Here is a 13,012-nt window from a genome sequence, read left to right on the forward strand (position 1 = left end):
TTTGATTGAGCAGTTTTGAATCACTCTTTTTTTAGAATCTGCTAGTGCATATTTGGAGCACTTTGAGGCTTATGGTGGAAAAGGAAATATCACCACATAAAAACTACACAGAAGCATTCTGAGAAACTTCTTTGAGACGTGTTCATTCAACTCGCAGAGTTGAACCTATCTTTTGATAGAGCCATTTTGAAACTCTCTTTTTGTAGAATCTGCAAGGGGTTATTTGGAGCCATTTTTGGCCGATGGTGGAAAAGGAAATATCTTCTCATAAAAAAGGTACACAGAAGCATTCTCAGAAACTTCTTTGTGATGTGTGCATTCATTTCACAGAGTTGAGCCTATGTTTAAATAGAGCAGTTTTGAAACTACCTTTTTGTAGAATATGCAGGTGGATATTTGGAGCCCTTTTTGTCCTATGGTGGAAAAGGAAATATCTTCACATAAAAACTACACAGAAACATTCTGAGCAACTTCTTTGTGATGTGTGCATTCATCTCACAGAGTTGAACCTCTCTTTTGATTGAGCAGTTTGGAAACAATCTATTTGTGGAATCTGCAAGTGGATATTTGGAGGGATTAGAGACCTATTGTAGAAAAGCAAATATCTTCACATAATAACTACACAAAAGCATTCTCAGAAACTTCTTTGTGATGTGTGCATTCATCTCACAGAGTTTAAACTTTCTATTCATTGAGCAGTGTGGAAACACTCTTTTAGTAGAATCTGCAAGTGGATATTTGGAGTCCTTGTGGGCCTATTGTGGAAAAGGAAATATTTTCACATAAAAACTACACAGAAGCATTCTGAAAAACTTCTTTGTGATGTGTGCATTCATCTCACAGAGTGGAATCTTTCTTCTGATTGAGGAGTTTGGAAACACTGTTTTTGTAGAATCTTCAGGTGAATATCTGGAGTGATTTGAGGCCTACTGTGGAAAATGAAATATATTCACATAAAAACTACACAGAACCATTCTGAGAAACTTCTTTGTGCTGTGTGCATTCACCTCACAGGGTTGAAACTATCCTTTGATAGAGCAGCTTTGTAAGACCCTTTTTGTAGACTCTGCAAGAGGATATTTGGAGCCCTTTGCGGCCTATGATGGAAAAGAAAATATCTTCACATAAAAACTACACAGAAGCATTCTGAACAACTTTCGTGATGTGTGCATTCATCTCACAGAGTTGAACCTCTCTTTTGATTAGGCAGTTTGGAAACACTCTATTTATGGAATCTGCAAGTGGATATTTGGAGGGCTTAAAGACCTATTGTGGAAAAGCAAATATCTTCACATAATAACTACACAAAAGCATTCTCAGAAATTCCTTTGTGATGTGTGCATTCATCTCACAGACTTTAAACTTTCTATTCATTGAGCAGTGTGGAAACACTCTTTTAGTAGAATCTGCAAGTGGATATTTGGAGCCCTTGTAGGCCTATTGTGGAAAAGGAAATATTTTCACATAAAAACTACACAGAAGCATTCTGAAAAACTTCTTTGTGATGTGTGCATTCATCTCACAGAGTGGAATCTTTCTTTTGATTGAGGAGTTTGGAAACACTGTTTTTGTAGAACCTGCAGGTGAATATCTGGAGTGATTTGAGGCCTACTGTGGAAAAGGAAATATATTCACATAAAAACTACACAGAAGCATTCTGAGCAACTTCTTTGTGATGTGTGCATTCAACTCATAGAGTTGAACGTATGTTTTCATAGAGCAGTTTTGAAACTCTCTTTTTGTAGAATCTCTAAGTAGATATTTGCAACCCTTTGCAGTCTATGGTGGAAAAGAAATATCTTCACATAAAAACTACACAGAAGCATTCTGAGAAATATCGTGATGTGGGCATTCATCTCACAGATGTGAACCTCTCTTTTGATTGAACAGTTTGGAAACACTCTTTTTGTAGACTGTGCAATTGGATATTTGGAGTTATTTGAGACCTATTGTGGAAAACGAAATATTCACACCCAGAAACTACACGGAAGCATTCTGAGAAACTTCTCTGTGATGAGAGCATTCAGCTTACAGAGTTGAAACTTCCTTTTGATTGAGCAGTTTCCAAACACTCTTTTAGTAGAATCTGCAAGTCGATATTTGGTGCCCTTGGAGGTCTATTGTGGGAAAGGAAATATCACCACATTAAAACAGCACAGCAGCATTCGGAGAAACTTCTTTGTGATGTGTGCATTCATCTCACAGAGTGGCACCTTTCTTTTCATTGAGCAATTTTCAAATTCTCTTTTTGTAGAATCTACAAGTGGATATTTGGAGCGCTTCAAGGCCTATGGTGGAAAGGGAAATATCTTCACATAAAAACTAGACAGAAGCATTCTGAGAAACTTTTTTGTCATGTGTGCATTCATCTTACAGAGTTAAACGCATATTTTGATAGAGCAGTTTTGAAACTCTCCCTTTGTAGAATCTGCAAGTGGATATTTGGAGCCCTTTGTGGCCTATGGTGGAAAAGGAAATATCTTCACATAAAAACTACACAGAAGCATTCTGAGAAACTTCTTTGTGATGAGTGCACTCATCTCTCATAGTTGAAACGATCTTTTGATTAAGCAGTTTTGAAACTCTCTTTTTATAGAATCTGCAATTGGATATCTGGAGCCCTTTGCATCCTATGTTGGAAAAGAAAATATCTTCACATAAAAACTACACTAAGCATTCTGAGAAACTGCTTTGTGATGTGTGCATACATCTCACAGAGTTGAACCTTTTCTTTTTGATTGAGCAGTTTTGAAACACTCTTTTTGTAGAATCTCCAAGTGGATATTTGGAGCACTTTGAGGCCTATGGTGGAAAAGGAAATATCTTCAAATAAAAACTATACAGAAGAATTCTGAGAAACTTCTTTGTGATATGCCCATTCATCTCACTGAGTTGAACATATCTTTTGATAGAGCAGTTTTGAAACTCTTTTTTGTAGAATCTGCAAGAAGATAATTGGAGTCCTTTGTGGCCTATGGTTGAAAAGGAAATTTCTTCACATTAAAACTACACAGAATCATTCTGAGAAACTTCTTTGTGATGTGCGCATTCATCTCACAATGTTGAACCTATATTTTGATAGAGCAGTTTTGAAACTCTCTTTCTTAAGAGTCTGCAAGTGTATATTTGGATCCCTTTGCACCTTATGGTGGAAAAGACAATATCTTCACATTAAAACTACGCAGAAGAATTCTGAGAAACTTCTTTGTGATGTGTGCATTCATCTCACAGAGTTGAACCTCTCTTTTGATTGATTAGTTTGGAAACACTCTTTTTTTAGTATCTGCAAGTGGATATTTGGAGTGCTTTGAGACCTATTTTGGATAAGAAAATATCTTCATATAAAAACTACACAGAAGCATTCTGAGAAACTTCTTTGTGATGTGTGCATTCATCTTACAATGCTGAATATTTCTTTTGATTGAGCAGTTTGGAAACTCTTTTCATAGAATCTGCAAGAGGATATTTGTAACACTTTGAGGCACATGGGGGAAAAGGATGTATCTTCAGATAAAACTACACAGAAGCATTCTGAAAAACTTCTTTGTGATATGTGCATTAAACTCACAGAATTGAACCTATCTTTTGATAGAACAGTTTTGAACCACTCTTTTTTGTAGAATCTGCCAGTAGATATTTGGAGCGCTTTAAGGCCTATGGTGGAAAAGGAAATATCCTCACCTGAAAAGTAAACAGAAGCATTCTCAGGAACTTCTTTGTGATGTGTGCATTCAACTAACAGAGTTGAACGTTTCTTTTGATAGAGTAGTTTTGAAACTCTCTTTTTGTAGAATCTGCAGGTGGTTATTTGGAGCCCTTTTGACCGATGATGGAAAAGGAAATATGTTCCCATAAAAACTACACAGAAACATTCTGAGAAACTTCCTGGTGATGTGTGCATTCAACTCACAGAGTTGAATATTTCATTTCATTGAGGAGTTTTGAAAGACTCTTTTTGTAGAATCTGCAGGTGGATATTTTGAGTGCTTTGAGATGTATTGTGGAAAAGGAAATATCTTCATGAAAAAACTACACAGAAGCCTTCTTAGAAATTTTTTAGTGATGTGTGCATTCATCACACAGAGTTGAACCTTTCTTTGATTGAGCAGTTTTGAGACAATCTTGTAGTACAATCTGTAAGTGGATATTTGGAACGCATTGAAGCCTATCGTTTAAAAGGAAATATCTTCACATAAAAGCTACACAGAAGCATTCTGAGAAACTTCTTTTTGATGTGTGTGTTCATCTCACAGCGTTGAACTTTTCTTTTAATTGAGGAGTTTTGAAACACTCTTCTCATGGATTCTGCAAGTGGATATTTAGAACGCTTTGAAGATTATTGTAGAAAAGGAAATAGCTTCACATAAAAACTACACAGAAGCATTCTGAGAAACTTCTTTGTCATGTGTGCATTCATCTCATAGAGTTGATCCTTTCTTTTCATTGAACAGTTTTGAAACACTCTTTTCGTAGAATCTGAAATTTAATATTTGGAGCGCTTCGAGGCCTATGGTGGAAAAGGAAATATCTTCACATAAAAACTACACAGAAGCATTCAGAGAAACTTCTTTGTGATGTGTGCATTCAACTCCCAGGTTTGAACCTATCTTGTTATAGTGCAGTTTAGAAACTCTCTTTTTGTAGAATCTAGAAGGGGTTATGTGGAGACCTTTTTGGCCGATGGTGGAAAAGGAAATATCTTCTGATAAAAACTACACAGAAGCATTCTGAGAAACTTCTTTTTGATGTGTGCATTCACCTCACAGAGTTGAACCTTTCATTTGATTGAGCAGCTTTGAAACACTCTTTTTGTAGAATCTGCAAGTGGTTATTCGGAGCCCTTTGTGGCTGATGGTGGAAAAGGAAATATCTTCACAGAAAAACTAGACAGAAGCATTCTCAGAAACTTCTTTGTGATGAGTGCATTCAACTCATAAGGTTGAACCTTTCTTTTGATTGAGCAGTTTTGAAACACTGTTTTTGTAGAATCTGCAGGTGGATATTCGGAGCACTTTGAGTTCTTTGGTGGAAAATGAAATATGTTTACATAAAAACTACACAGAAACATTCTGAGAAACTTCTTTGTGATGTGTGCATTCATCTCACAGAGCTGAATCTTCCTTTTGATTGAGCAGTTGTGAACACTCTTTTCGTAGCATCTGCAAGTGGATATTTGCAGCATTTTGAGGCCTATGGTGATAAAATGAAATATCTTCTTTTAAGAACTACACAGAAGCATTCTGAAAAACTTCTTTGTGATGTGTGCATTCACCTCACAGAGATGAATCTTTCTGTTTATTGAGCAGTTTGCAAACACTCTTTTAGTAGACTCTGCAAGTGTGTATTTTCAGCCATGGGAGGTCTATTGTGGAAAAGGAAATCTTTTCACATAAAAACTACACAGAAGCATTCTGAGAAACTTCTTTGTGATATGTGCATTTACCTCAGAGACTGGAAACTTTCTTTTTATTGAGCAGTTTTTAAACACTCTTTTTGAGGAACCTAAGGGTGGATATTTGCAGCGCTTTGAGGACTAAGGTGGAAAATGAATTATCTTCACATAAAAACTACACAGAAGCATTCTGAGAAACTACTTTGTGAAGTGTGCATTCAACTCACAGAGTTGAACCTATCTTTTCATAGAGCAGTTTTGTAACTCTGTCTTTGTAAATTCTGCAAGTGGATATTTGGAGCCTTTTGTGATCTATGCTGTAAAAGGAAATATCTTCACCTAAAAACTAGACAGAAGCAGTCTGAGAAACTTCTTTGTGATGTGTTTATTCATCTCCCAGAGCTGAACCTTTCATTTGATTGAGGAATTTTGAAACACTCTTTTTGTAGGATCTGAAATTTGATATTTGGAGCACTTTAAAGCCTTTTGTGAAAAAGGAAATATCCTCACAAAAAATCTACAGAAGAATTCTCAGAAACTTCTTTGTTTCGTTTGCATTCGTCTGAAAGGGTTGAACCTTTCTTTTGATTGAGCAATTTTGAAACTCTCTTTTTCTGGAATCTGCAGGTCGATATTTGGAGCCCTGTGCAGCCTATGCTTTAAAAGGAAATATCTAAACATAAAAAAAATACACAGACGTCTTCTGAGGAACTTTTTTGTGATGTGAGAATTCATCTCACAGGACTGAACCTTTCTTTGATTGGGCAGTTTGGAAACACTCTTTTTGTGGTATCTGCAAGTGGATATTTGGAGTGCTTTGAGGATTAAGGTGGAAAAGGAAATACTTTCACATAAAAACTACACAGAAGCAATCCGAGAAACTTCCTTTTGAAGTCTGCATTCATCTCACAGAGATGAAACTTTCTTTTGACAGAGCAGTTTGGAAATCCTCTTTTTGTATAATCGGCAAGGGGATATTTGGAACACTTTGAGGCCAATGGTGGACAAGGAAATATCTTCACATAAAAACTACACAGAAGCATTCTGAGAAACTTCTTTGTGATGTGTGCATTCATCTCACAGAGTTGAAACTTTCTTTTCATTGAGTAGTTTTGAAAAACTCTTTTTGTAAAATCTGCAGGTGGATATTTGGAGCGATTTGTGGCCTATTGTGGAAAAGGAAATATCTTCTCATAAAAACTACACAGAAGCATTCTGAGAAACTTCTTTGTGATGAGTGCATTCATCTTGCAGAGTTAAACGTGTCTTTTGGTAGAGCAGTTTTGAAACTCCCTTTTTGTAGAATCTGCAAGTACATATTTGGAGCCTTTTGTGGCCTATGGTGGAAAAGGAAATATCTTCACATGAAAACTACATAGAAACATTCTGAGAATCTTCTCTGTGATGTGTGCATTCATCTCACAGTGTTGAACCTTTCTTTTGATTGACTAGTTTTGAAACACTCTTTCGTGCAATCTGCAGGGTGGATATTTGGAGAGCTTTGAGGCCTATGGTGGAAAAGGAAATGTCTTCACATAAAAGCTACACAGAAGCATTCTGAGAAACTTGTTTGTGGTGTGTACATTCAACTCACAGAGTTGAAGCTATATTTTGATAAAGCAGTGTGAACCACTCTTTTTGTAAAATATGCAAGTGGATATTTGGAGCGCTTTGAGGAATAGGAAGGAAAAGGAAATATCTTCACAAAAAATACACAGAGGCATTCTGAGAGAGTTTTTTTTTTTTTTTTTTTTTTTGATGTGTGCATTCATCTCACTGAGTTTAACATTTCATTTGATTGAGCAGTTTGGAAACACTCTTTTAGTAGAATCTGCAAGTTGATATTTGGAGCGCTTTGAGGCCTATTGTAGAAATGGAAATATCTTCACATAAAAACTACACAGAAGCACTCTCAGAAACTTCTTTGCTTTGTGTGTATTCATATCACAGATTTGAACCTTTCTTTTCACTGAGCAATTTGGAAACACTCTTTTAGTAGAATCTGCAAGTGGATATTTGGAGCCCAAGGAACAATTTTGTGGAAAATGAAATGTCTTCACATACAAATTACACAGAAGCATCCTGAGAAACTTCTTTGTGATGTGCACATTCATGTCACAGAGTTGAACATTTCTTTTGATTGAAGAGTTTTGAAACGCACTTTTTGTAGAATCTGCAAATGGATAATTGGAGCACTTTGAGGCCTATGGTTGAAAACGAAATATCTTCAAATAAAAACTACACAGAAGCATTCTGAGAAACTTCTTTGTGATGTGTGCATTCATCTCACAGAGTTGAAACTATCCTTTGATAGAAGAGATTTCAAACTGTCTTTATGTAGAATCTACAAGTGGATATTTGGAACACTTTGTAGCCTACGGTGGAAAAGTATATATCTTCACATAATAACTACACAGAAGCATTCGGAGAAACTTCTTTGTGATGTGTGCATTCAACTCACAGAGTTGAACCTATCTATTGATAGAGCAGTTTTGAAACTCTCTTTTTGTAGAATCTGCAAGTGGACATTTGGATCGCTTTGAGGTCTATTGTGGAAAAGGAAATATCTTCACTTAAAAACTGCACAGAAGCATTCTCAGAATCTCCTTTGTTTAGTGTTCATTCATCTCAAAGAGTTGAACTTTTCTTTTGATTGAGCAATTTTGAAACACTCTTTTGGAAGAATCTGCAAGTGGATATTTGGAGCCGTTTGACGCCTATGGCAGAAAAGGAGATATCTTAACATAAAAACTACACAGAGGCATTCTGAGAAGCTTCTTTCTGATTGTGTACATTCAACTAGCAGAGCTGAACCTATCTTTTCATAGAGCAGTTTGGAACCTCACTTTTTGTAGAGTCTGCAAGTGGTTATTTGGAGCCCTTTGTTGCCAAAGGTGGAAAAGGAAATCTCTTCACATAAAAACTACACAGAAAAACTCCCCGAAACTTCTTTGTGATGTGTGCATTCATCTCACAGTGTTAAAACTCTTTTGATTGAGCAGTTTGGAACACTCTATTTTAGTAGAATCTGCAAGTGGATATTTGGAGCCCTTGGAGGCCTAATGTGGAAAAGGAAATATCTTCACATAAAAACTACACAGAATCATTCTGAGAAACATCTTTGTGGTGTGTGCATTCATCTCACAGAGTTGAAACTCTCTTTTGATTGAGTAGTTTGGCAACACTCTTTTTGTAGAACCTCCAAGTGGATATTTGGAGCGATTTGTGGTCTATTGTCTAAAAGGAAATATCTTCACATAAAAACTACACAGAAGCATTCTGAGAATCTTCTTTGTGATGTGTGCATTCATCTCACTGAAGTTAACCTATCTTTTGATAGACCAGTTTTGAAACTCTTTTTGTAGAATCTGCATGTGATTATTTGGAGCCCTTTATGGCCTATGGTGGAAAAGTAAATATCTTTACATAAAAACTACACATAAGCATTCTGAGAAACTACATTGTGATGTGTGCATTCATCTCACAGAGTTGAACATTTAATTTTATGAGCAGTTTTGTAACACTCTTTTTGTAGAATCTGCAAGTGGATATTCAGAGCGCTTTGAGCCCTACTGTAGAAAAGGAAATAACTTCACATAAAAACTACACAGAAGCATTTTCAGAAACTAGTTTGTGATGTGCAAATTCATCTCACAGAGTTGAACCTATCTTTTGATAGAAAAGTTTTGAAACTCTCTTTTTCTAGTATCTGCAAGTGGTTATTGGGAGCCCTTTGCAGCCTATGGTGAAAAAGGAAATATTTTCACCTAAAAACTACACAGATGCATTCTGAGAAACTTCTTTGTGATGTGTGCATTCATCTCACAGAGTTGAGATTCTCTTTTGATTGAGTCATTTGGATACACTCTTTTTGTAGTATCTGCAAGTGGATATTTGGAGCAGTTTGAGTCCTATTGTGGAAAAGGAAATATCTTCACCTAAAAACTACACAGAAGCATTCTGAGAAACTTCTTTGTGATGTGTGCATTCATCTGACAGAGTTGAAACTTTCTTTTGATTGAGCAGTTTTGAAACACTCTTTTTGTAGAAACTGCAAGTGCATATTTAGAGCGCTTTGAGGCCTATAGTGGAAAAGGAAATATCTTCACATAAAAACTACACAGAAGCATTCTGCAGAACTATTCTGTGATGTGTGCATTGAACTCGCAGAGTTGACCCTATGTTTTGATAGTGCATTTTTGAAACTCTCTTTTTATAGAATCTGCAAGTGTTTATTTGGAACCCTTTGTGGCCAATGGTGGAAAAGGAAATATCTTCCCATTAAAGTTACAATGAAGCATTCTGGGAAACTTCTTTGTGATGAGTGCCTTCACCTCACAGAGTTGAAACTTTCATTTGATTGAGCAGTTTTGAAAAACTCTTTTTGTAGAATCTGCAGGTGGATATTTGGAACGCTTTGAGGCCTATTGTGGAAAAGGATTGTCTTCATATAAAAACTACACAGAAGCATTCTAATAAACTATTTTGTTTTGTTTGCATTCATCTCACAGAGTTGAACCCTTCTTTTGATTGAGCAGTTTTGAAACACACTTTTTGTGGAATCTGGAAGTGGTTATTTGGAGCCCTTTGTGGCCTATTGTAGAAAAGGAAATATCTTCACATAAAATCTACACAGAAGTATTCTGAGAAGCTTCTTTGTGATGTGTTCGTTCATCTCACAGAGTTGAACCTTTATTTTGATTGAGCAGTTTTGAAACACTATTTTCATAGAATCTGCAAGGGAGTATTTGGTGTGCTTTGAGGCCTGTGGTGGAAAAAGAAATATTTTCACATAGAAACTACATAGACTCAGTCTGAGAAACTATTTTGTGATATGTGCATTCATCTCAAAGAGCTGAACATTTCTTTTGATTGATCAGTTTGGAAACACTCTTTTAGGTAAATCTTCAAGTGGATATTTGGAGCCCTTGGAGGCCTATTGTGGAAAAGGAAATATCTTCACATAAAAATTACACAGAAGCATTCCGAGAAACTTCTTAGTGATGTGTGCATAAATCTCACAGAATTGACCCATTCTTTCAATTGAGCAGTTTCGAAACAATCTTTTTGTAGAATCTGCAAGCAGAAATTTGGAGCGCTTTGAGACCTATAGTGGAAAACGTACTATCTTCACATAAAAACTACACAGAAACATTCTGAGAACCTTCTTTCTGATGTGTGCATTCATCCCACAGAGGTGAATCTATCTTTTGATAGAGCAGTTTTGAAACTCTCTTTTTGTAGAATCTGCATGTGGATATTTGGAGCCCTTTACGGCCTATGGTGGGAATGTAAATATCTTCACATAAAAAATACACAGAAGCATTCTGGAAAGTTCTTTGTCATCTGTTCATTCATCTCACAGAGTTGAAACTATCTTTTGATAGAGCAGTTTTGAAATTCTCTTTCCGTAGAATCTGCTAGTAGATATTTTGAGGCCTTTATGACCGATGGTGGAAAAAGTTATATCTTCCCATAAAAACTACAGAGAAGCATTCTGAGAAACTTCTTTGTGATGAGTGCATTCATTTCACAGAGTTGAACATTTCATTTGATTGAGCAGTTTTGAAACACATTTTCGTAGAATCTGCAAGTTGATATTTGGAGGGCTTTGAGGCGTATTGTGGAAAATGAAATATCTTCACATAAAAACTACACAGTAGCATTCTCAGAAACTTCTTTGTGATGTGTGCATTCATCTCACAGAGTTGAAACTTCCTTTTGAATGAGCAGTTTTGGAGCACTCTTTTTGTAGTATCTCCAAGTGGATATCTGGAGATATTTGAGGCCTGAAGAGGAAAAGGAAATATCTTCACATAAAAACTACACAGAAGCATTCTGAGAAACTTCTTTGTGATGTGTGCATTCATCCCACAGAGATGAACCTGTCTTTTCATAGAGCAGTTTGAAACTCTCTTTTTGTAGAATCTGCAAGTGGATATTTGGAGCACTTTGCAGCCTATTGTGGAAAAGGAAACATCTTCACATAAAAACAACACAGAGCATTCTGAGACACTTCTTTGTGATGCGTGCATTCAACTCGCAGAGTTGAACATATCTTTTCATAGAGCAGTTTTGAAACTCTCTTTTTGTAGAATCTGCAAGTGGATATTTGGAGCCCTTTGCAGGCTTTTAGTGGAAAAGGAAACATCTTCATATAAAAACTACACAGAAGCATTCTGAGAAACTTCATCATGATGTGTGTATTCAACTCACAGAGTTGAACATATCTTTTGATAGAGCAATTTTGACACTCTTTTTGTAGAATCTACAAGTAGATATTTGGAGCAGTTTGAAGCCTGTGGTGGAAAAGGAAATATCTTCAAATAAAAACTACACGGAAGCATTCTGAGAAACTTCTTTGTGATGTGTGCATTCAACTCACAGAGTTGAACCTTTCTTTTGATTGAGCAGTTTGGAAACACTCTTTTTCTGAATCTGCAAGAGGATATTTGGAGCACATTGAGACCTATGGTGGAAAAGGAAATATCTTCACATAAAAACTACACAGAAGCATTCTGAGAAACTTCTTTGTGATGTGTGCATTCATCTCACAGAGTTGAACCTATCTTTTGATGGAGCAGTAGTGAAACTCTCTTTTTGTAGAATCTGCAAGTGGATATTTGGAGCGATTTGAGGCCTAACGAGGAAAAGGACATATTTTCACATAAAAACTACTCAGAAGCATTCTGAGAAACTTCTTTGCAATGTTTGCATTCATCCCACAGAGTTGAAATTTTGTTTTGACTGAGCAGCTTTGATACACACTTTTCATATAATCTGCAAGTGGATATTTGGAGCACTTTGAGGCCATTGGTGGAAAAGGTAATATCTCCACATAAAAACTACACAGAAGCATTTTGAGAAACTTCTTTGTGATATGTGTATTCAACTGGCAGAGTTGAACCTGGCTTTTGATAGAGCAGTTTTGAAACTCACTTTTTGTAGAATCTGCAAGTGGTTATTTGGAGCCCTTTGTGGCCTATGTTGGAAAAGAAAATATTTTCCCATGAAAACTACACAGAAGCATTCAGTGAAAGTTCTCTGTGATGTGTGAATTCGTCTCACAGACTTAAATATTTCATTTGATGGACCAGGTTTGAAACACTTTTTGTAGATTCTGCAAGGGGATATTTGGGGCGCTTTGAGGCCTATTGTGGAAAAGGAAATATCTTCACTTAAAAACTACACAGAAGCATTCTCACAAACTTCTTTGTGATGTGTGCATTCATCTCACAGAGTTGAATATTTCATTTGATTGAGCAGTTTTGAAACACTCTTTTTGTAGAATCTGCAAGTGGGTATTTGGAGAGCTTTGAGGCCTGTTGCAGAAAAGGAAATCTCTTCACATAAAAACCACACAGAAGCACTCTCAGAAACTTCTTTGTGATGTGTGCCTTCAACTCACAGACCTGAACCTATCTTTGGTAGAGGAGTTTTGAAACTCTCTTTTTGTAGAATCTGCAAGTCGTTATTTGTAGCCATTTGTGGCCGATGGTGGAAAAAGAAATATCTTCCCATAAAAACTACCCAGAAGCTTTCTGAGAAACTACTTTGTGATGTGTGCATTCGTGTCACAGAGTTGAAACTTTCATTTCATTGAGCATTTTTGAAACACTC

The 13,012-nt window shown here is 36.3% G+C and overlaps 1 annotated feature.

The window, feature by feature from the left end:
- Positions 11,272-12,164: an enhancer, noted in NCBI's record as "OCT4-NANOG hESC enhancer chr12:38123991-38124883 (GRCh37/hg19 assembly coordinates)". NCBI's record gives its function as "activates a minimal SCP1, AML or CMV promoter by ChIP-STARR-seq in primed H9 embryonic stem cells {active_cell/tissue: H9 hESC(primed)}" and the evidence as "EXISTENCE:reporter gene assay evidence [ECO:0000049][PMID:30033119]".

Source organism: Homo sapiens, chromosome 12 (genome assembly GCF_000001405.40).
Source record: "Homo sapiens chromosome 12, GRCh38.p14 Primary Assembly".
Taxonomy (NCBI): Eukaryota; Metazoa; Chordata; class Mammalia; order Primates; family Hominidae; genus Homo; species Homo sapiens.